The sequence below is a fragment of the Homo sapiens genome, chromosome 15 (assembly GCF_000001405.40).
Source record: "Homo sapiens chromosome 15, GRCh38.p14 Primary Assembly".
Taxonomy (NCBI): domain Eukaryota; kingdom Metazoa; phylum Chordata; class Mammalia; order Primates; family Hominidae; genus Homo; species Homo sapiens.
The window spans coordinates 31056180-31080473 of NC_000015.10; the positions used below are offsets into that span (position 1 = coordinate 31056180).

The window sequence follows — 24294 nt, forward strand, 5'->3', positions numbered from 1 at the left end:
AAGGGGACCAGCAGTTGCTTGACTAATAGAAAATCCAGATGAAGGGAAAGAGATAATAAAGAAAGAAATACTCAAAGAAGAGATAGAAGAAAATTTCACAGAGCTGATTCAGGTCTTCAGCATAAAGGGACCTTTGAAAGCCAGAAGAATTAAATGTCTACATGTGTGAAGATATGGCTGCTTGAGTTTGTATTCTCTATACACTTCTATTTTCATTTGCTTGAAATAGAAGATACATCCTTGTGAAATTTTCAAGCACTGAAAAAGCAAAGAGCAGAGAGAAAACAATGGTTCATCTATAATTGAATGAAAATCATAGGACAATCTTGAGCCTCATGTGAGGCAGACTTTTTTCAGACATGTAAAGACACAGAATGATAATTGCTGTGGTTTGAAAGTGTCCCCCAAAGTTCTTGTGTTGGAAACTGAATCCCCAGTGCAACAGTGCTGAGAGATGGGACCTTTAAAATTGTTTAGGTTATGAAATTCTGCTCTCATGAATGGATTAATGCTTTTATAGAGGGAGAGGGTTCATGATCTTGAGAGATTTGTTTTAAGAGTTCAGCCCTCTCTCGCTGTCTCTCGCTCTCTTACCCTTTCACCTCCCACCATGGGATGATGTAGCAAGAAGGCCCTGACAAGATACCAGCCCCTTGATCTTGGACTTTCCAGTTTCTAGAACTGTAAGAAATAAATCTCCTTTCTTTATCAGTTACCCCATCTGTGGTATTCTGTTACAGAAACACAACACAGACTCAGACAGTAATTCTCCCACATGCTTTTATGTAAAAGTTACTTGAAGATGTACTCCAGCAAAATGAAAAAGGAATCTGAAAGGGAGGAAGACATGGGGTCTAGGAGGCAATGGCCAGTCTCAGAGTGCAACGAAGGGATGTCTGATGTAGACAACTGTACAGTAGGCATTGAGAGCATCCAGGGAAGATGGGGGTAGGAACTCATGGGGCTTTGAAAGATTCTTCAAGAAGAAATGGGACAGTAACAATTAAGAGAATAGATATGGCTGCAGCCATAAAAAAGAACAAGATTATGTCCTTCGCAGGGACATGGATGGAGATGGAGGCCATTATCCTTAGCAAACTAAGGCAGAAACAGAAAACCAAATGCTGCATATTCTCATAAGTGGGAGCTAAATGATGAGAACACATGGACACATAGAGGGGAATAACAGACACTGGGGCCTTTTGGAGGGAGGAGAGTGGGAGGAGGGAGAGGGTCAGGAAAAACAACTAGCAGGTACTAGGCTTAATAACTGGGTGGTGAAATAATCTGTACAACAAACCCCCATGACACAAGTTTACCTACATAACAAACCTGCACTTGTACCCCTGAACTTAAAGTACAAAGTATATATTAAATATAAACTATGTATATGCAAATAAAAGTACAAAATGGCATTTTTAAGGTAATATCTGTATGGCTTCATCTTGGAAAGAGTGCAATAATTTTGCCCTAGCTCCCCACAGGGTAGCCTTTGCTGCAGCCATGCTTGATATATCCACGTTGCTGACAAGAGCCTTGATATGGTTTGGCTCTGTGTCCCACCCAAATCTCATCTCCAGTTGTAATCCCCAGGTGTCAAGAGTGGGGCCTGATGTGAAGTGATTGGATCATGAGGGCAGTTTCCCCCACGCTGTTCTCATGATAGTGAAAGAGTTCTTATGAGAATTGATGGTTTTAAAAATGTTTGGCAGCCCCTTGTGCTCTTTTCTCTCTCTCATGGGCTGCCGTGTAAGATGTGCCTTTGCTTCTCCTTTGTCCTCCGCCATGATTGTAAGTGTCCTGGGGTCTCCCCAGCCATTTGGAGATGTGAGTCAATTAAACCTCCTTTACAAATTACACAGTCTCAGAAGACTGCTATTCTTTATAGCAGTGTGAAAACGGACTAGTATAAGCCTCAACATTAGCAGTGGCAAGTGTACATAGGCAGGTACCAAACTTTACATCTATTTGTTTGGAACCAAACTAAAGATACAATAAAAATACTTAAAAAAAAAAAAGAATAGATACAGCAATGACATCAAGGCAAATGTTTGGAAGAAAAAAAGAGAATCAATTAGAAATGTGGAGAAAAGCAAATATCTATTCAAATAAGTCATGGTCCAAATATGAAGGAAATTAAAGTGTCACCTAATTTTAAATAGTTGGTGAATGATGGAAACCTTGATGCCTGTCATATTTTCCTTTGTGTGAGCCAGATAAATGACCCAGGACTACCTTCCCTTCTCCTTGACTTCAATCCTACTTTGCGGTTCAGCAGTGAACAATCTCCATGTAATCACAACAATGTCAAAGCTGCTGGTTTCTCCATTTTTTTAGAATCAACATAGAGACTAAGTACAAAAACTGAATGATGATTAAAGAGTAAGATGTAAGCAGGACCTCAATGATTAAAGAAGGATATGTACATGTTCATCATGTCAAGCACCTTGTAAAAGTGGGGCTGATTGAATTAGGAAGATGAAACTTGTCAGGAGAGGAAGGAGGAGTATGGAGTGAATTTCCTCATTTAACAAAATGGGAGTCTGAAGCGGACAGAACAAGTAGGTGGTTCCACGTACTCTTTACCGTCATAAAGGTGACCAATATAAGAATTAAGCAGGGCTGGGTGCAGTGACTCATGCCTGTAATCCCAGCACTTTGGGAGGCCAAGGCGGGTGGGTCACTTGAGGTCAGGAGTTTGAGACCAGCCTGGCCGACATGGTGAAACCCTGTGTCCACTAAAAATGCAAAAAAAATTTAGCTGGGTGTGGTGGGTGCCTGTAGTCCCAGCTACTTGGGAGGCTGAGGCAGGAGAATCGCTTGAATCCGGGATGCAGAGGCTGTAGTGAGCTGAGATAACACCACTGCACTCTAGCCTGGGCAACAGAGTGAGACTCCATTTCAAAAAAAGAAAAAATAGAATTAAACAGGCAACTATCAAATCCAGGAGGAACAGGGGCAGTGGAAGCAGAGTGAGCAATCCACCTCCTTCTATTACCAAGTGGAGAATTGATGGATCCGTCTACACATGATCAATCAATAAAGAGTGATAAAACGTGTTATGGCAATGTGTGGAAGCAACTTCCAGGAGACCTAAACACAGAGGCAGTTAAATGCTTTGGGAGGCAATTAAATGCTTTGGGAGACCTAAACACAGAGGCAGTTAAGTAAAATGCATTTGTGCAGCAATATGCCAGGGATGTTTTGAGAAATGGTTTTGCATTGTTTTTTGTTTTATGTTTTAGAGATGGGATCTCATTCTCTCACCCAGGCTGTAGTGTAGTGGTGCAGTCACAGCTAACTGTAACCTCAGATTCCTAGGCTCAAGCAATCCTCCTGCCTCAGCCTCCAAAGTAGCTGGGACTATAGGCATGCACTCCCATGCCTGGCTAATTTTTTTTATTTTTTGTAGAGATGGTGTCTCACTATGTTGACCAGGTTGGTCTTGAACTCCTGGCCTCAAGCAATCCTCCCAAATCGGCCTCCCAAAGTGCTGGAATTACAGGTGTGAGCCACCACATCTGGCCAAGAAATGTGGTTTTTAAAACCAACATAAACTCTCTAGATATTCCTACTACCTTTCATAAGCAGCAGAGCCCTTTTTGCAAACACAAATTTATCCTGACTCCTAATCTATAAAATGGATCAAAGAAGCTGCTTTGACTGAAGAAGAAGTAGGAGGCTTGGAGTCCTTTATCATGCAGACTTATGTGTGTTCACACACACACACGCTCATCCCCATGTCACACACACACATTAGTACTCCTCAACACTCCACACACACTGCTCATCCCATATCACACACACACAATACCCTCCCAATGACACCCACATACACACTATACCACCCATGGCCACACACATTACTCACCTACACAAAATCATACCACATACAGGCACACCACATATCACATGCACACAGACACCCTATACACACATACAGACACACACATAGACACACACACATAAACACACACACACACAGAGTTCTCTAGGCCTCCAGGGTTTCATGGAACATAGTTTGAAAAATCATTGCCCTGGATGGAAGCATTGCATTAAATTTTAATAAGCTATTTTATTTCTTCTTCTTTTTCTTTAAAAAGGTAAAAACCCACTTTCATCAGCAACGATAAAATATTTGGTGATTAATTTCTTCAGGAGTACTGGTTTGAATGTGGAATTACTTCTTGTTGGTTCTTTGAAGTTAAACAGTGACATCTTCTAATGAGCCTAATAGATTACATATCATATCATCAGAAACCCCACATAATTTCCTGAATTCCATGTCACAAGGGAGAACATACTAATAGGTCACTTGTACAAAGTCAAGATCAATGATATGAATCGAAAAAAAACAGTTTCACCGGCCAGTGGGGCCCAAAGACAAAGATCTGGCTTCGTGCTATGTCCACGCGGTTCCAAGCCAGTGCCAAGCTCAGCTGATCTGGAGCAGATACGTTTGTTCCTGGAAAGGCAAGAAACCGGAATGATTTTTCACTCCACGCCTGGACCGCCAGGGTTTGGCAGGTGCTGGGTGGTGAGCACAGGCTTCCCTTGGGCTGCTGGCCTAGAACTAAGCATTGCTGGCTTTGCTCTTGCCCTGAATGACCACAAAGGCTCCGAGCTGAAAGAGCTTCCCTGGAGGAAGGTGGAGGCAGCCTCTTCCCATGCCAGCTGTGCATGGTCTCCTTGGGAGGGACAGAACAGGAACCCAGTGACTCAGGGACCCTGGAGATGATCTCCAGGAAGGCTGGAACCCTGGGACTGCCAGGCAGCCAGCCTGACAGTGACCCTTCCCCTCTCTCTGTCCTCCCTGCCCCCTCATGGCACCAGGCTAACTGAGAGGCAGGGAGGAAGTGTGCATCCCAGAGCAGACCCTCCCCGCCCGGCCATGAACGCTGGCCTGAAGCCTGTCATTAGAACCAAGACGGGGAAATTGGACAGAACACTGCGGAATGCAGTGATTGCAAAGGAACCCATCTGATGTTTACACTCTAGGAGCTGAAGCCCTCAATGAACCAGTTACAAATAGAAACGGTTCTGACCTCAGCCCATGATGGTCCAGGAGCACCCACAGACCTCTGCCCCACAGAAACAGCGAGCCTTGTCATTCTGCCGTGGCTTCATGCTGAGACTGCTCAAGTGGCCTGGCTGGCTCAGGGTCTAGCACCAGCAGACATAGTCCATGGGAGGCCGGGAGGGAAGGATTGCCGGCTAGGCCAACATCAGAGGGACAGGAGTCACCATTTCCTGAGAGCTCACCTTTCAGCAGGGCAGTTAAAATTGCCATCTCGATGTCCTGCTGGCCCTCAGAACCCATTCTGAACACAGTGACCTGAAAATGTGAAAAGACTGAATTAAAGCCAAGTTGAAAACAAGAAGGAGATATGGGGTGTTGTTACAAAATGACCACAGAGACTGACACGTAATAAAATGATCCTGAGCACTAAACAGTTTCAAAGCAAGTGCTGTTGATTTCTTTTTTTTCTTTTCTTTTTCTTTTTTCTTTTTGTTTTTTTTTTGAGATGGAGTTTCGCTCTTGTCGCCCAGGCTGGAGTGCAATGGCGCTATCTTGGGTCACTGCAAACTCCACCTCCCAGGTTCAAGCGATTCTCCTATCTCAGCCTCCCAAGTGGCTGGGATTACAGGTGCACGCCACCATGCCTGGCTAATTGTTTTGGTATTTTTAGTAGAGATGGGGTTTCACCATGTTGGCCAGGCCGGTCTCAAACTCCTGACCTCAGGTGATCTGCCTGTCTCAGCCCCCCAAAGTGCTGGGATTACAGGTGTGAGCCACTGTGCCCGGCTGATTTCCAGAAGTTATGGCATTGCCGTGGGGTGCCTGCCTGCATACTGACTTTATTATTTTCCCCATCCCTTCTGGCACCCTCGAGAGGAGGGAGCTACACTCCGAAATCTCAGTCGCCATCGGAGATGCAAAGTCGTATCTAATCAGACAGGAGATATTTGTAGGAATTAGAATTTTGAAGAGGCCATCTTATGTGCACGACAAGAGTACCTATTCCTTGTAAATGGAACGGAAGAGGGAAGGAGTGGGAAATAAAATAACAGAACTTTGTAAACATGCCTGACAGGGTGGTATGTGGCCCTTTTCCCCAAGACTATCAATCTGAGTAATATTATGAGCCTCAGAGGGTGTTGTGTGGTGTCATGCCCCACTTGCTAAAGTTTGAAAGCACCAGGGGCCCTCCCCTGTGTGGGCTCGTTCAGCTTCTGTCATGTGGACACAGCCACCAATTTGGTATGCATTTGTACTGTCTCTCAGAAAAGGCCGGACTAAAATATGAATAACCCTGTCATGCACACATGGGCGGAATTAGAAAAGGAAACATAATTCTCTCCACAGAGCTTGTTTGGAAATAAATTCAAGACACTTACGAGTTCTTTCTTCTTCATGCACTCCATTATAATTGCAAACAGCTGATGTGATTGTGCCTTATTATAATTAAATGTTTTCTGAATGGTAACTAGAAGCTGCTCCCTGAGGGACTCATTTATTATTCTGTTCAAAGAAAATGCAAGAGAACAAAACAAGGCAAGTTAAATCTATATATGAATGAGTCAGACATATCTCTGTCTTTGATTTGAGACTTTGCTGTGGGAGGATATCCTGACACAGGAGACAAAAAGTAACCATAGTCAAACATCGTATTCTCACTTGTCCTAAATTCCAGCTTTGTTGCAAACTTTCTAAGGGCAAATGAAGTTGGAAATGAGGGAGAGAGAATTCCATCAGGAACACCCTGCCTCTGATGGTTCCCCTGGATGCTGACCTGAGGAAATGGGAGAGGAGATCTAGCAAATCTTCCTGATTTAAACACGTTTGGAATGTCTAAGCAGACCACTTTAGATTTTCTCCTTGGCCCGACAAAGAGGGAGTTACGAACCCGCCCTTCCTCGCGCGTCAGAAATCCTACCCGCCTTCTTCACAGTACTTGTGCGCAAAGGACAGGATGTCCGAGGCACGTCCGCTGCCATCACAAATCACCACAGGGATGGGAGGCTCTTCTTGCAGGTATTCCAAGACGATGGACACCACGTTAGGGCCCCCCTCCACCACGAGACCCACGAGGGGCACGCCCTGCCCCAGTCCTGCAACACAAACCACATTCGCCCATACCACCTGTGCCCTGCACTGTCCACCCAGTCGTTTTAACTCCTGAAGTATGGGGAAGAGTAAAAACATTACGACTTGGGGGATGTTCTATCTGGCTGGAAGGAATTCAGGCATGTGATAACAATTTTCTTTTTCTTTTCTTTTCTTTTTTCTTTTTTGAGACAGAATCACACTCTGTCCCCCAAGCTGGAGTGCAGTGGCATGATCATGGCTCACTGCAGCCTCAACCTCCCTCTCAGCTCAGGCAATCCTCCCACCTCAGCCTCCTGAGTAGCTGGGACTATGGGCACATGCCACCACACCTGGCTAATTTTTGGTAGAGATGAAGTCTTGCCATGTTGCCCAGGCTGGTCTCAAACACCTGGGCTCAAGTGATCCACCTGCCTTGGCCTCCCAAAGTGCTAGGATTACAGGTGTAAGCCACTGTGCCCAGCCCAGTTATCATTCTTGCATTCTGTCACATATTATGGCCTCATTGGGAAAACCAGGACCTCAAAGTCTGAAACTTTCTGACTCACATATGGTTAAACTCCTGAATAACCCACCCACCTGATGTTGGGGCTACTTCAAGGTGACCACTGAGAAATATTGGAAGGTATTCCTGGCTGGAAAAATATCCCCCTGGCTGTCCTAGCCTATGGTCTGAAATTCCCACCCTGATGGCTGTCCCTGAAGAATAAGATGATGAAAGGGGATCTGGACCAGCCAGGGAAATTGCAGTTCAATTCCTGGCTTCTCCCTTATGACACTGGGCCAATCACCAAATCACCAAGAGCCTTAGACAGCCATTTGTAAAAGGTGAACAATCACAGTGCTTCCTTTAACTCCTGCAGTTGTAAAAATATCAGAATATGTGTTTGGCTAGCAAATAATTTTGTAAACGTTAAGTAGCATACAAATGAGGTACACTGTTCTTGTTGACGTTTCTGTCTTCAGTGGCTGGAATAAAGTGCAGATCTTGGACGCAGCCACTTGGACCACTAGTGGCCCATCAGTTAATGACCTGTTCCCAGAGTCCTCCCTCTGTCTCTATCAGTTAATAGGACTCTTCAAGAACACAGTGGGTACCAACTAACTTTTGGTGGCAGAACCTGCAGGCATGGCTCTGGGAAGCAAGAGGTGGCAGGAAGATTCCAGGAAGTTGGGATTCTGGAATGGGAAGGAAATGGGAGTGGAGGCACATTTGCCTACTTCCTAATTTTATGCCACACTGGCCATGACAGATCACACTCTGAGCCTATTTCACCAGCTGTCCATTAGTTGTGATGGGAATTAGTTGATCGATATTAACTAAAGGCAAGTGGAAGTATCGTTGGTCTCAGCTCTGAAGGGCTTCAGATAAAAATCTGCCAGCATTGGTTAAGAGAAGATTGGAGAATTTCAAATGAGCCATTTCAGAGTTTCTAATTTGCTTCCATGAGGTGTTTCTACAGTCAGGGACTCTTACATATGTTGAATAACTCTGCTGTGTCCACCAGAGTAATTACAGCTAAGTTCATTTCAGCAGACATGCATTGAGGGTCTGCTTTGTGCAAAGCCCTGACCAGGAGATATTGGAAAAATGAACTAAGATATCCTGGACTCCGCCTTTGAGATTTCCAACCCAAGCAAGGATTGATATTTTCAATCTTTAGGAATATGGTGGCCAAATCACCTTCTTTTCGAGCAACAGAGTAGAACAGGTTCTTCTTGGCTTAGGCTGGAGTCCTCGAAGCTCCGTGCTGTGGGAAGTGACAACTGAGCACCCCTTTGCTGTCCCTGCCCTGCTCAGAGCCCTAGGCGAAGGATGACAAAGGGAAGCCCACAAGTCACATGGCCAGGTGAAATGGGGTGTTGTAAAAACTTACAAGTCCAGAAAAATTAGAGATGTGAGAACAAAAAACATTCAGTCATCGACCAATGTATTCTTCGAGATCTGATTCTCGGAAATCTACAACTTTTCCTAGTAGGCCATCCCCATTCTACCCACTCTGCAGCATCACAGTCCCATACATGATGATTCCCAATGACCATTCGCCAGGACTAGATGGTCTCCCACAAAAATCTTGCCAGTAATGGGAAAAACAAACTGCTCTTTCAGATCATTTAACAATTGTTTGACGTTAAGAATTACTGGAGTATAAACATGCTCCAAGAGATTATACCAGTTATTGTAATTCTAACCAGTTGTTATCATTGTTTCTTCTGGTTGAGGTTTGCGTCTTTCTCTCTAGTTCGACCTCAGCTTTCGTCTGACAGTGACAGCTCCCCCTCAGGACCAGCAAGGATGATGCCCCTTCAGGAGCAGATGGCTCCTGCAGCCCTCTCCAGATATGTCCCCACCTGGCCATCTTAGTCTACATGAAAGGCCCAGCATTACAGAGATATTTAATAATCACATAATACTTATCAGCAAATAGAAAGAATCCTACTAAATCTTTGAGAAATTGTTTTCCTGTTAAAACACTTAAAAAATAACAACTAATTACAGGGAACAAGAACCACTGGGCAACAGGGTGGGCAAGGCCATCACCATGGCGAGCACTGAGGGTTATTTCGTGCTAACTTGTGAACCTGGGGCAAAGCATCCCCATGTAGCCCAGTGAATGTGATTTGGTAGGTGGCTAAGGTAAGACATCTAGGTGAGTCATTTTCTGTTGACCTAACAAGAAGCAAGGTTAATCTTCTAATCCCCTTGGGCAATCAATCTCCTTCTCAGCCTTGTTTCCACTGTGATGGCATCAGCCCAGGAGGACTGCGTGCCTTTGCCAGCACTTACTTGTGTTGATCTTCTGCAGGGAGATGTGCTTTTCCAGCAGCCTTCGCAGCTTCACCTCGGCGCCATACTTGCCCAGGGTGCCATTGTCAGCCAGGATGAAGTGGGTGTGGGAGTTGTTGAGCACAGAGAGCTTACTTAGAGGGTTGGACATGGTCTGGTACACTCTTGTTACCTGACAAAGTGCACAGCGCAAATCAGACCTGCAGGACTTGGATGTTAAGACCAACAAGGGAAGCAAGCACAATACATATGTGTGGAGTGACTGCACTAAAACTTATTCTCACATCTCTACCCTGCCTTTTGAAGGTTTTATTTTTGCCAATTGTTACATTAAAATAGAAAGAAAGTTAATTGTTTTAGATAATGACAACCTAGCAATTGCACCCCTGGCATTTATCACAGAGAAATGAAAACCTATGTTAACCTCAAATCCTGCACTGGAATGTTTATGGCTACTTTACTTGTAACAGCCAAACTGTTCCTCAACAGACAAATGGTTAAAGAAACTGGTGCCTCCATATCATGGGATGTCAGCCAGCAGTAAAAAGGAATGAAGACCAATACATATGGCAACCTGGACGCGTGTTCAGAGAACTATGTGGAGTGAAAAAAAAGCCAATCCCCAAAGGTTACATTACTGTATGATTCCATTTACAGAACCTTCTTGAAATGCGGGGTGGTGCAGATTAGTTGTTTCCAGGGGTTAAGGAAGAGGTGGGGGTAGGAAGGAGTGAGGTATATGTATATGAAAGGGCAACAGGAGGGATCCTCGTGTTGATGGAAACATTCTGCACCTTGACCTTATCAATGACAGTATCCGGGTTGTGATCTTGCATTATGGTTTTGCAAGATGTTACCATTGGAGGAATGGGAAAGGCTGCAAGGGAGCTCTCTTATTATTCTTACAACTGCATCTGAATCAACGGTTACCTCAAAATCAATCATTAATTTTAAAAAACTGCCAACATTTGCAGAGAAAACACTTACATCCTTTCCAACCAGGTCTTCCTTATTCTCCACGATGCCCCATGGAGCAATTCCTATAGCACAAACCCGGCCTCTGGACTTGGAGGAGTGGTCTTTCAAGGCATCCCCTACGTGGCTGATAACACCTGTGAGCAGCCATTGGTCATATTTTAGGCTCTTTTACTTCCCAGCACACCATCATTCATGAAATTTAGGGACACTTGCCCTGAGTCCCTACATTCCCTACAGATCAGGGGTGAGACACACTCATCTTTATCATTAAAACAAAGTACACTGAAAGTCTGAGCTCATGATAACGAGCAATCTTGCATTAACTCTAGAAACGGGAAAACAAAAACAGAAACCAAAGCAACTGTGTAGGGATTTCCTTTACAGATGTCTAAGGCCTAAAGCTGGAAATAACTGGAGTCTTTTTGGCATTCCTTGGCTGCCTTCAGTGAAAATTGAGAGCCATACTGCCTGGTATGTTCCTTAATGTCTTTGTGCCTCAGTTTCCTGTCCTATAACAGGAAAAGGATTGTCGAGAGGTCTAATGAAGATGATGCTTGTACAGGGCTCAGTTCAAGGAATATTGCATGTCATGGGTGACCCAGAGATGTTGACCATTATGACAATCATTACTATATTTGCTGTTTTTTTTTAAGAGTCATATCAAAGTAAAAAACACAAGCTAGGGAATAAAGACTTCACTTTAGTCATAAATAGGATCAGGATGCAATATGTTTTGTTGTCCTTAGTTATTAGGAAGCTCTTTGGGGACCACAGTGAGTTCTGGGTGGTACATTGATTATCGGGAGGGAAAGGGCCTGCTCTTACCTGTGCTGACACCCCCGGTGAAGATCCAGGCCCCGGTGGTCATAGCAGCCTTGATCAGGCCTTTCCCAAAGACTTGTTTCAGCTTGGGCTGCATCTCAAAGTTCTGGAGGCCTCCATGCACAGATATTAAGAGCTTGGGGAGTTCCAGCTGCCAATCTTTCACCATGAGATGGAGCAGTGAGTCTGGCTTGGTGTCATAGGATACACGGATATACTGTGAAAGAGTGTGTGGCACTCAGCCTCTGTTCTTGGTTTTGCTTCTCGTGTCAAAGGGGAGTGAGGCTATTGCTCATGTCCAAGCAAGAACTGCCTGGCTTGTCTCTTCCTCAGGGCCCTGGAGCCCTCTGTGTGAGTCTGTGGCCAAGTGACTGAAGGGAACTTTGGAGAGGATTGTCAGGTTTAGCAAATACAAATAAAAGATGCCTGGTACCATGGTCTGAATGTTTGTATTCCCCTAAAATTCACGTGGAAACCTGATTCCCAATGCAATAGTGTTAAGAGGTGGGATGTTAGAAGGTGATTACGTCATGAGCATGGATCCCTCGTGAGTGGGACTAGTGTCCTTATAAAAGAGGACTCAGGGCTGGGCGTGGTGGCTCATGCCTGTAATCCCAGCACTTTGGGAAGCCGAGGCAGGTGGATCACTTGAGGTCAGGAGTTCGAGACCAGCCTGACCAACATGTTGAAACCCCGTCTCTACTAAAAAAAATACAAAATTAGCCAGGTGTGGTAGCGCATACCTGTAATCTCAGCTACTTCAGAAGCTGAGGCAGGAGGATCACTTGAACCTGGGAGGCGGAGGTTGCAGTGAGCCAAGATTGAGCCATTGCATTCCAGCCTGGGCAACAAGATCGAAACTCCAACTCAAAAAAAAAAAAAAAAAAAAAAAAAGAGGACTCAGAGAGCTTGTTCTCTGCTTCTGCCATGTGAGGACACAGCAAGAAGGTGCTATCTATGAAGCAGAGGATGGGCCCTCGCCAGGCACCAAATCTGCTGGCACCTTGATCTTGGGCCTCCCAGACTCTAGAAATGTGAGCAATAAATTTCTGTTGTTTATAAATTCCCCAGCCTAAGGCAATTTGTTATAGCAGCCAAACAGACCAAGACACCCAGTTAAATTTGAATTTTAGAGGAACAATGAAAAATGTTTCAGTACAACATTTTTATTAAATGCAATAAATCATGCAATATTTGGGACATACTTGTACTGAAAATTTATCCAATGTATGTCTGAAGTTCAAATATAACTGGGTGTCCTGTATTTTATCTGGCAATCCTAATGTTGGAGGAATAGGTTCCAAAGCTGGCTTAGCTAGAACAGTGGCCCAAGAAGTTGGATGAGGATGTTGTTGAGTAAATGGGTCAGGCGATCATGGGCCCACCCATGAACTTGACCTCTTCAAAGTGAGGAGGAGGCTAATAATGCTCAGATGCCTTGTCTCCTATAAACTGCTTCTTTGTGTCTGGGCTAATATGTAGGGTGCCATTTCAGAAGACTGTATATTGCAGCATTTGGAACACAGCTAAATTTTATTTTAACAATGATGTTGGGCCAGTGAAATAAAATGAAATTGCAAAAAGTCTGTGACTGGGCATGTAGGAGTGTAATTCAGAGTGAGCTGGAACGGATCACAGAGCTGAAGCCTCCCCCACGCTGGCAGGGCTCACTGGAAGGGCAGAGGGCACTCCCTGTTTACATGCAAATGTGAGGGACCTTGGTCCTTCTCGGGCCAGCTGAGCGCAGGCCCAGGGAAGCTGTGGACAGACCTCAGAGGAAAATATTTCCAAAGACTCTCAACACATCTAAGGGGGCTGCAGGTCCACAGTTATTAGAAAAATGAATTTGTCTTCCTTTACTGAAGATGGAGCAATGGAGTGTGTTTGCAGGGTTGGGCCAGAGCCTGGTTTGTGGATTCAGAGCTTTGGTATGGATTTACGGGACACTAGATGTTCTTTACAGTGGTGTCCAGTTTCCAAGCCTCATGGCTAAAAGCCATGTGCACAGATATATCTCTTGGTTTTTCAATGAAATATCTAGGAAGATTGAGCCACAGCCATGAAGAAGACCAGGTATCTGCAGTTTGGGGCTGGGAGACTGGCCGCCAATGAAAGCTGTGATCCTAGTGGCACCATGTCTGAATGCCTTTCTCACCATGGCTTTATTGGAATATCCGCCACCCTGGAATTCAAGAACTCCATAGGAATCTGTTGGGTAGCTCTGGGTGTGCTTGGCAACAGACCATTTCTCAGGCTGAGTCTCCACCTGTTTGCTTTCCTCTTCATTTTTGCTGGGTGTTGCACTTGGCAGAGGGGGGATATGCTGGTTGGTGAACTGGCCACAGCAACACCTGAAAACAAAGGCAAAGCAGGGTCTTTCTACAACAATCTCCCCCTTTCCCCTTCATTAGCAAAAATGAATTAACCTCAACAGGTGAGTTGGGCCCAAACAGGAGCCTACTAACACTTCAGTAAGCCAGCGTTATTAGGGACAGAAATGCCCCATCTGATGGCCTTTTCCAGATAATCAGTGCACATCTCTTTATATGCCAGTCGATTTTAGACACATTGGATGGTTGCTCTTTCGGAAAATATTTCAACTTTTTGATGTCTTGATAACATCAGTATAAACATCAAGTACTAAACATTCTGTGACAAAGTATAGACATGCCCTCCGAACATAGAGTTGACCTTCCAGATTTTTCTTTCTCTTGTCATTCAGGTTGGAGTGTAGTGGCGCTATCATAGCTCACTGCAGCCCAGACCTCCCCCAAGCTCAGGTGATCCTCTCACCTCAGCCTCCCTAGTAACTGGGACCACAGGCACACACTACCATGCTCAGCTAGTTTTTATATTTTTAGTAGAGACAGCATTTTGCCATGTTACCCAGGCTGGTCTCGAACTCCTGGGCTCAAGCAATCCGCCTGCCTTGGCCTCCCAAAGTTCTAAAATTACTTACTTAGGTGTCAGCCAAATTTTTCCATATTGTTGAATTGTTCTGTTCCTTAGTAAAACATTTCTCCACTCAAGTAATGCTAAAAGGCTATTTCAAAAGTGACCAATATGTCTTTTTCTGCCTTGGACAGATGGCCCATTGGGCCATAACCCGCCCCAGCATCAGGGATCTTCTAGCTCTACAGCATCTCTCCCAAAACCCAGCCAACCTCTCACGCCCTCCCTGAACTCTGGCTTTCTAGTCTTCTCTGAACATGTTCCCTGGCTTTGTGCCAGCTTCTTTTCCTAGTGTGCCTAGGATTTCATCTGTTACTCCATCATTTTTGGCTGCCACTGTTTTGAGTGGACTGGACCCACCAAAAACTTGAAAAGTTTGTTAGGAAGAACTGCAGTAGCCTGGAGTGATGCCTTGGTGGAGATGGAATCCAGGGAAGGCATGGAGGGAGGTCTGTTCCTGGACCCAGCAGGAGCCTGTGTGGGCAGCCGTGCACCCTAGCAAATGGGGTGGGAGAGCTGGGGATGGAGTTGGCTTGAGGACTAGAGAGGATGTCTTTACTGGGCTAGATGTGCGAATGCGTGCACGTGTGTAATGCACATGTGCAGGGCCCTTGCCAGAAGGCTTTCTGTGCTCCCATGGGGCCAGCCTTGGGGCTTCCTCCCTGCCTTGTCTTTCCTTTTGTTTTCCTTTTTCTTTTCCCTCCTCGCTTCCCCATTCTCTCCCTCCCACCCTCCTTCTGATGGCCTTCCATCTTCCCTCCCTCACTCCCTCCCTCTTTCTCTCTCTCTTTTTTCCTTTTATTGAGATATAATTCATGTAATACATAATCAACCCATTTCAAGTATGTGATTCAGGCCAGGAGCAGTGGCTCACGCCTGTAATCCCAACACTTTGAGAGGCCGTGGCATGTGGATCACTTGAGGTCAGGAGTCCGAGACCAGCCTGGTCAATATTGTGAAACCCCGTCTCCACCATAAACACAAAAATTAGCTGAGTGTGGTGGCACACGTCTGTAATTCCAGCTACTTGGGAGGCTGAGGCAGGAGAATCGTTTGAACCCCGGAGGCAGAGGTTGCAATGAGCCGGGATCGTGGCACTGCACTCCAGCGTGGTTGACAGAGTGAGACTCCGTCTCAAAAAAAAAAAAAAAACATATATATATATATATATATATATATATATATATATATAGAGAGAGAGAGAGAGAGAGAGAGAGAGAGAGATTAAATGGTTTTTAGTATTGACAGATATGTGCAACCATCATCACAGTTAATTTTCGAACATTTTCATCACCTCAAAAAGAAACTTGGCATGGCATATTTTAAGTTATCTTCCTTCTCACCACCATCTATCTACCTGTGCACCACTCCCCAAGCCATAAGCAACCTCAAGTCTACTTTTTATCTCTGTGGATTTCCATGTTCTAGACACTTCATATGAATGCAGTCCTGTAATATCTGGTCTTTGGAGATCAGCTTCTTAGCATGTTTTCAAGGTTCATCCATATTGTAGCATGTGTTGGTACTTCACTCCCTTTTATGGCTTAATAATATTCTCGTATGAATGGATGAACATTTTGTTTATCTATTTATCATTTAATGGACATTTGGGCTATTCGCACTCTTCAGCTGTTATGAATAATGCTGCTATGAATATTTATGTAACAAGTTTTTGAGTGGATGAATGTTTTCATTTTTCTTGGGTATACACTAGGCATGGGATTGCTGGGTCATACGGTTACTCTATGTTTAATCTTCTGAAGAACCACCAAACTGTTCTCCAAGGTGGCTGTATCATGGTACATTTCCACCAGCAGTGTCTGAGGGTTCTGATTTCTCCATATCCTCTCCCACACACTATCTTACATTTTCATTCTAGTCTTCCTTCTGAGTGTGAAGCAGTTTATCATCATGGTTTTGATTTGCATTTCCCTGAAGAATAAGGACATTGAGCATTTTTCATGTGCTTATTGACTATTTGTGTATCTTCTTTGGAAAGATGTCTATTCATTTCCTTTGCCCATTTAAAAAACTTGGGTTATTTATTTTTTTTTAATTATTGGATCTCTTTCCGTATTCTGGATACAAGTCCCTTATCAGAGACATAATTCACAAATATTTTCTCCCATTCTGTGGGTTGTCTTTCCACTTTCTTGATAGCGTCCCTTGAAGCACAGTGTTTAATTTTGGTAAAGACAATTTTTTTGTTGTTTTTGTTGTCCATGTTTTTGGTGTAATATCTCAGAATCATTTGCCAAATCCCAGGTCATGATTTACCCTTACATTTTCTTCTAAGAGTTTTATAGTTTTAGCTTTGACATTTAGGTGTTTGGTCCATTTTAACTTTTATAGATAGCATGAGGTAAGGGTCCAAGACTATTCTTTTGCATGTGGCTATCCAGTTATTCCAGTACCATTTGCTGAAGAGACGACTACTATTTCGCCATTGAAAGTACTTTTCACCCTTGCCAAAAATCAATTTGCCATAGGTGTATGGGTTTATTTCTGGACTGTCAATTCTGTTCCATTTGTCTATATGTCTATCCTATGCCAGTATCGTTGTCCTTTTATTACTGTAGCTTTGTATTAAGTTTTGAAATCAGAAAATGTGAGTCCTCCTATTATTCTTTTTGATGCAATTATAGATAAATTATGTTGCCAGTTTCATTTCCATATAGTTCATTGCAAGTGTATAGAAATACATTTGATTTTTGTGTATTGATCTTATATGCCACAATCTTGCTGAACTCATTTATTAGTTCTAATATTTTTTGGTGGATTCCTTAGGATTTTTCTATGTATAAGATTATGTCATCTGCAAATAGAGAGTTTTACTTCTCTCTTTCCAATCTCAATATTTTTTCTTTCTTTATTTCTCTTACCTAATTGCTTTGGCCTGTACTTCCATTAAAATGTTGAATAGAAGTAGCGAGAGAGGACATCCTTATCTTGTTCCTAATCTTAGGAGGAAAGCAATCTTTCACCATTAAGTCTGATGTTAACTGTGGATTCTTTATAGCTGTTCTTTATCGGGTTGAGGAAGTTCCCTTCTATTCCTGGTTTTCCGAGTGATTTTTTATAAAGAGTGTTGAGTTTTATCCAAGTCTTTTGCTGTGCCTATTGAAAAGATCATGTGATTTTTGTTTCTACTATATTGATATGCTATATTACATTATTTATTTTTCTAATGTAAACCAACTTTACATTCCTGGGATAAACCCTGCTTGGTCATGGTGTATCATTATTTTTATATGTTGCTGGATTTGGTTTGATAGTATTTTGTTCAGAATTTCTGCACCCATGTTCATAATAGATATTGATCTATAGTTTTCTATCTTGTGATATCTTTGTCTAGTTTGGTATCTGGGTAGTACTGGCCTCATTAAATGAGTTGGGAAATGTTCCCTTCTCTGCTATTTTCTTGAAGAGTTTGTGAAGAATTGGTATTAACTCTTCCTTAAATGTTTTTTAGAATTCATCGAAAAAGCCATGTGGGCCTGGGCTTTTCTTTGGACAGTTTTTTTATTACTAATCCTATCTCTTTACTCCTTATAGATCTGTTCAGATTGTACATTTTTTCTTGAGTCAGTTTTGGCAGATTGTATATTTCTCAGAATTTTCCCATTTCATCTAAGTTATCTAATTTGTTTGCATATAAGTCATAGTATTCTTTCATACTCATTTCTATAAGGTTGGTAGTAATGTCCCCTCTTTCATTTCTGAGTCTAGTCATTTGAGTCTTATCTTTCTCTTCTTTTATGACTCTAGCTAAAGATATGTGAATTTTGTTGAGGTTTTTAAAGAAGAGCTTTTAATTTCATTGAATTTCTCTACTTTTCTATTCTCTTTTCCATTAATTCCACTTTAATCATTATCTCCTTCCCTCTACTTGCTTTAGGTTTAGTTTACTCTTCTTTTTCCAGTGTCTTAAGGTAGAAAGTTATGTTACTTATTAAATATCTTTCTTAATATAGGTATTTACAGGTATAAATTTCCCTGTCCGTACTACTTTACCTGCATCCCCTAAGTTTTGGTTTGTTATGTCTTCATTTCCATTTACCTAAAAGTATTTTCTAATTAACCTTCTGACATTTTCTTTAACCTAGTGGTTATCTGGTAGTGTATTAATTTTCACATATTTATGAGTTTCCAATTTTTTTCCTCCTATTGGTTTCTTATTTCTAATTTTATTACATTGTGGTTGGAGGACAGTTTGTATTATTTCTATCCTTTTAGATATTTTGAGGCTTTTTAATGGACTAACACATGGTCTATGCTGGAGAATGTTCCATATGCACTTGAGAAGAATGTGTTTTCTATTGTTACTGGGTGGTGTGCTCTATAGTTATCTGTTAAGCCTAATTGGTTTATGATGTTGTTCAAGCTTTCTATTCCCTTGTTGGTCTTCTGTTTAGGTGATCTATGCATTATTGAAAGTGGGGTATTGAAGTCTCCAACTGTCATGTTGAATTGTCTACTTCTCCCTTTGTTTATGTCAGTTTTGCTTCATGCATTTTGGTGCTGTTTTAGGTACATATATGTTTATATTTGTTGTAACTTCCTGATCGATTGTCCCATTTATCATTATAAAATGTTCTTAATATCTCTAGTTACATTTTCTTGCTTTAAAGTATGTTTTGTCTGAATCCATTATAACCACTCTCACTTTCTGTGGTTGCTGCTTACATGAGTGGGGCACGGGTGGAAGAAGGGAGCCTCTATCTCTCAACTGCATTCATTCAGGACTTAGCCTCAGCAACAGGTGGTAAGGGACAGGATGAGAAATGCTGAAATCCTGCTCCTCCCAGGAAGAAAGCCCCCTGACTGGGAGCTGGTGGAGAGGGAGCTCTGTGTTCTTGGCTGCAGCACTCTGGAGTAGAGTCTCTATCTTGCTGAGCTGGGCAGAGGGAGGGAGGAAACTCTTGGTTCAAATCCCACAGACTCTAGCCTTTCTTACTGAATTTTTGCTGGCTTTCTCTAAAGATATTCCTTTACTTGCTGTTTGTCTTTGGGATCATTTCCAAGGGTTTAAACGGTTGGTTTTTTCATTCTAGTTTTTTTTTTTTTTTAATCCATGCTGGGGACTGCATGGAGTGCATCAAGGAGGCTTGTATGTGAGCCCAGAAGCACTTTTTGCCCTCTATTGCCTGGGCATCTGGCTTCATGGAGGACTGCAGTGCTGGCACAGAGAGTTCCCAGGATGGCCTATGTGCCATTGAAATAAGAAGGGACATGTAGATGCAACAAAGGGGAGACTTTTGTGACCGTTGGCATTGTTTCATAATGGCATTTCTTACCTCGGGGGGCAATCACTGGGGTTTAAGCAGGGAGGAGAATCTGCAGGGTGGTGTGGGGCAAGGGGCAGCTTGGGGATGTGGAGGGACTGTGATTGCATGTGTGAAACAAATTTGAAGCAGGTGATCTTGAAGAGTGTGTACTTCTGTGTCATTATTCTACCTGCATGAATTTCATATTGGACGAATGTATGGATAAATTGTTCCCCTTCCCCCAGACTCAGCCTCATAGCTTTTGCCCTTAGAGATGAGACATTTTAGTTAAATTAATCTCTACTTACATGACTTTACAAGGCCTCTGTTCAGCTTATAACAGATGCATTTTAATGTAGGTGAATAAAATTGTTGGATGTTTTGTGTACAAGCCAAATCCTTTAATAAAGTTATAGCTAGTTCATTCAACCGCTCAGATCTTTCCTGTGATGGAAATTCCTTTTCATCTAAATACATTATGAAACTCTATTGAAGAGGCCTGGAAAATATCCTGGAAACCTGTTGAAAGCCCTCAACTCCTTGATCTTGCTGAGACTAAGAGGAATGATGTGGGCCCAGTTGGCTATGAGAGTTCGCATTAGGGTGGGTGGTGGACACAAACTCTTTTCTGAAGCCATTTGCATGTTAATGGAGTAACAAGGAGCCCCAGTGACTCCCTTGTTAGTGACTCCCATGGGGAATGGATTCTGGCCACCCTTCTGGACTCCTCTTTCTGCCTCTTACAAACATGAGAATAGTGGCAGACAAGCACTGGTTTGGATAATGTCTTAATCGTGGATTTCAATTTACCTGTTAGAGTCTTTCATGCTAGGAATTACAAAGATACATTCCCGTTTGCAAAAGGTTTTCTCTATCCAAGATTTCTGACCCTGGAAGAGAGAGAGAAGTGGATATTGGACCAATACATTCCCAAGCCATCATCAGAGTCCATTCTTATACCTTTATAAAACAATATGTCTGCCCACAACATCTGAATAGTCATCTGCAATAATGGTGGATGCAAGTCTTTAAGGATCTTAGCTCTAGTACCTTTTAAGAGAAATGGCTTGCAAGTATGTATTTAATGGTTCTCATTTTGCACCTTAATTCATCCATATCCACCTGTTGAAGATATTTTTTGTGCACGGTTCTGGGGTGGGAGCTGTGGGGATTTCCAAGGAGATAAACTGCAGTGCAAGTGTTGTTTACCATCTGGAAATGGCACGTTAGGGGTGTGGCTCAGGGAGGCCACCTGGAGCAGAAGGAGGTGGGAGGGAAATCCCCTGTGGAGGCCCTGCTGGTGCTGGATGCTCAGCGATTTCTGCTGGCTTTATCCCACATGGCCTCTTGTTCTGTCACCAGGGACATCTCACACAGAGGCTGGGCACTGGGAAGTGAACCGGCCTGCATCTGAAGGGCCCCATTGGGTCTGCTTCCCAGGGTTTGTGGAGTCAGTTGGCAGAGAGAGCTGGGGAGAGCCCTTCCTGCAGGTGGGAGGGAGGTGCAGGCAGGCTGTGGGGCAGGGGCCTCGGGGATCCCTGGAAGGGCTCGTGGGAGGCAGGGAGAGAGCCAGCACCCTTCGCTGGATCTCCATGAGGCCTGGCTCAGTGCGTATTTGTGCTATTTGTGGATGTATGATGTGTGTGTGTGTGTGCTATGTTTGTGTATGTGTCTGATGGATGTGTGTTGTACGAGTGCAGAGTGTGTCGTGATGCATGTGTGTGTGTGTGATGAGTCTGTATGTGAGTGGGTGTGTGCGCACGCATGTGTGGTGTGTGTTTGTGATGTGTGTGTGGTGTTATGTGTGTGGTATGTGTGCAGTGTAGTGTGTTGTGTGCATGACTATGACCTGTGTAGTGTGGCGTGTGCATGACTATGACCTGTGTAGTGTGTATGTCTGTGGGGAGCTTGTGGGGTGCTTGCAGGCATGGGGAAGTAGAACGCTTAGCATGTGACAATCCTGAGTCAGATCTTAGAGAAACCATGGCCGGCGGGAGCCTTGTGTCCTTGGCCACTTTCCCACAACTGCCATGAGGAGTGCCCCATGTGCCTGTGACCAGGATGGGACTGAGGTATCTGCGGGGTGAGGCTTGGAGCTGGCCTCCTGGCTGTCCCCATTTACCTAAGCAGCAGTGCTGCTCTGGGAGGTCCCTTGTCTCTGGGGAGGTCACCTCTGCAGAGGTCTGCAGTGACAACTGCATGTCAGAGAGGCCCTCCGCAGAGAGGTCATGCCGATGCCCCATTTGTTACTCTAGGAGAGCCCCAGCCCTAGTCCCAGCTGTGCGGACTAGGGCGTGCAAGTACCCCCCAAACTCAGCCTTTCTGGGAAGATCCAAGTCGGCTTGTTACTTGGCTTTTTGAATAATAGAAATGATGAAAATTCAAACCTTCCTCAGTAGCCTTCAAAAAGCAACACCGTACACTTTTCTCTGTAAATAATTTAATGACTGTTTAAAAACAACATCGCTGGCCTCAGAGGTTGGTGCTTTTGTGCTAATGCAAGGGAGGCAGGCAGTGTGGGCTCAGGGGAGAAAGAAAGCATGGAGCGGGAGCCTCTGAAGCCCCGCCCTGCCCTTCTGTTTTGCACTTTTCCCGTCTGTTTCGCACTTCTCCAGCGCAAGACAGCGAAGCCCAGCACCTGCTGCCTGGAAAGAAACTGTGCTTTTCCCCTTTGCATCTCATGCCTTACTTCCCAGAGAAGCTGGGAAGCCCTTGTTTTTTATAACATAGGGGTTGCAGTATTTGGACTATATGACAACTAAAGACAAGAACTCTAAACAAAGATTGAACTCCCATGAGTAGGTTACTTTTTCTGGAACATAGGATAGCAATTCTGAAGCTGTTTTTGTGTCCTCTAGGACTGAACAAATAAATTAATACATTGCAGATGATTGGAGCTGGGTTTCTCACTGCTGGAGAAAGGAGTTACAAATATGGAAAGTGGGGAAGGTCACAATGAACCTTGTAGCACTGAGCTAAAATTAAAGTTATCAGTGTGAACTCATGGTTTGTAATATATAGAGACAGGTATAAAAACAGATATAAATGTATGTGTGGTCCCTGTCTATACATATACACATATATAGAGATATAACATATTGCATTAATTAACTATGGAGTAACAAAACAAATTGCCCCAAAACTTAGTGGCTTAGAATAACAAACAATTATTATCTCCCAGTTTCTATGGACCAGGAGTTGAATGTGGCTTAGCTGGGTGCTTCTGACTCTGGTTTCTCACAAGGATTTGACTGAGCTATGGGTGGGGGCTGTGGTCTTAAGGGAAGGAAGGAAACCTGGAAGGATCCGTTTCCAGGCTCACTCATGTGGTTGTTGGCCCAGGCCTCCCTTAACTCCTTGCCAGGGAAACCGCTCTCCAGGGCAGCTCACGAAGGGGCAGCTGACCACCCTCTGAGTGCGCAAGCAAAAGAGTGCATGCAAAACAGAAGCCAGGTCTCTTTATAACCTGGTGTCCAAAGTGACAGCCCATGGCTTTTGCCGTAGCCCATTCATTAGCATTGAGTCACTCAGTCCATCCCACACTCAAGGGAGGGGGTTACACAAAGCATGCATATCAGCAGGCAGGGACCTTGGGGCCATATGCCTACATACATATGCACATATGCATGCATGCCTGTATGCTTACACACTCATACATTCCCTGGCTCCCTTAATGGGCTTCACAATAACACTTCAATAGCAATGAGCATACTCATGCTCCAATACTGGTTTCCAAATACCATTCTCCACTAAAAGGAATCCAGGGCTGGGGCGGGGAAGTATAAGAAGAGCCTGGAACACCTTACTGTACCAGCAAGTGAGAAACTTTACTTTTGACATGGGAACATGCCAAAAGAACACAGTGGCTGCTTGAAGGGGCTCCCAGTGGCTTTCTCTGGGGTCCCTTCAGCATGAAAATAAATGACTACAATGAAGAATTATAACCTTTAGACTTAAATAAAGACCCATGGGTCCACACTGATATAAATACATATGTAAATAAACGCACAGGGGAGGGAGAAAGCTCTTTCTTCCAGTGGAAAGTCCCTATTAAATGTGGAAGGAATGATGGAATCCGACAATCACCATTTGGCAACCATCAAGAATCTCTGATGAATGCTAAAAGTAGTGGGTAAAAGTCTGAAGAGTAACAACGTATTTACATAATCTCAAAGTATTTCCCATGGATACTTATTAATTACAAAGGAGAAATTAGTAACTTGACAGTGGAGAATTCTGGGGAGAACCACCTAAAACAAAGTGCACATCGCCTGTCATGGAACAAATATTTATTATGAGGCTCTGGATAAAACGCACCAAGAGGAACAAAAGTGCCCAAAGTACATCATCTGAACCTGATCTGGAGGAAGGATCATCAG

The 24294-nt window shown here is 43.7% G+C and overlaps 1 protein-coding gene and 1 non-coding gene across 5 annotated transcripts in view, besides 3 other annotated features; both read right to left on the bottom strand.

The window, feature by feature from the left end:
• TRPM1 (transient receptor potential cation channel subfamily M member 1) overlaps window positions 1–24294 on the bottom strand; it is a 160096-nt gene that overhangs the window by 55115 nt on the left and 80687 nt on the right. For 3 of the 4 annotated variants that reach the window (NM_001252020.2, NM_002420.6, NM_001252024.2), the window contains 9 exons: window positions 20726–20805; window positions 13852–14047; window positions 11700–11913; window positions 10884–11008; window positions 9897–10068; window positions 6939–7113; window positions 6400–6523; window positions 5263–5335; window positions 4365–4465 (listed from right to left, as the gene is read on the bottom strand). In NM_001252020.2, coding sequence (NP_001238949.1) covers window positions 4365–4465; window positions 5263–5335; window positions 6400–6523; window positions 6939–7113; window positions 9897–10068; window positions 10884–11008; window positions 11700–11913; window positions 13852–14047; window positions 20726–20805 — 1260 coding nt within the window. Of the gene's footprint in view, window positions 1–4364; window positions 4466–5262; window positions 5336–6399; window positions 6524–6938; window positions 7114–9896; window positions 10069–10883; window positions 11009–11699; window positions 11914–13210; window positions 14048–20725; window positions 20806–24294 lie in introns of those variants that run through there. The other variant, NM_001252030.2, reaches the window with a different exon arrangement.
• On the bottom strand, window positions 8853–8962 carry MIR211 (microRNA 211). The gene has a single exon (NR_029624.1). It is a non-coding gene; the product is annotated as a microRNA 211 (primary transcript).
• Window positions 20866–21397: an enhancer, noted in NCBI's record as "H3K4me1 hESC enhancer chr15:31369248-31369779 (GRCh37/hg19 assembly coordinates)". NCBI's record gives its function as "activates a minimal SCP1, AML or CMV promoter by ChIP-STARR-seq in naive H9 embryonic stem cells {active_cell/tissue: H9 hESC(naive)}" and the evidence as "EXISTENCE:reporter gene assay evidence [ECO:0000049][PMID:30033119]".
• Window positions 21929–22460: an enhancer, noted in NCBI's record as "H3K27ac-H3K4me1 hESC enhancer chr15:31370311-31370842 (GRCh37/hg19 assembly coordinates)". NCBI's record gives its function as "activates a minimal SCP1, AML or CMV promoter by ChIP-STARR-seq in primed H9 embryonic stem cells {active_cell/tissue: H9 hESC(primed)}" and the evidence as "EXISTENCE:reporter gene assay evidence [ECO:0000049][PMID:30033119]".
• Window positions 22461–22991: an enhancer, noted in NCBI's record as "H3K27ac-H3K4me1 hESC enhancer chr15:31370843-31371373 (GRCh37/hg19 assembly coordinates)". NCBI's record gives its function as "activates a minimal SCP1, AML or CMV promoter by ChIP-STARR-seq in primed H9 embryonic stem cells {active_cell/tissue: H9 hESC(primed)}" and the evidence as "EXISTENCE:reporter gene assay evidence [ECO:0000049][PMID:30033119]".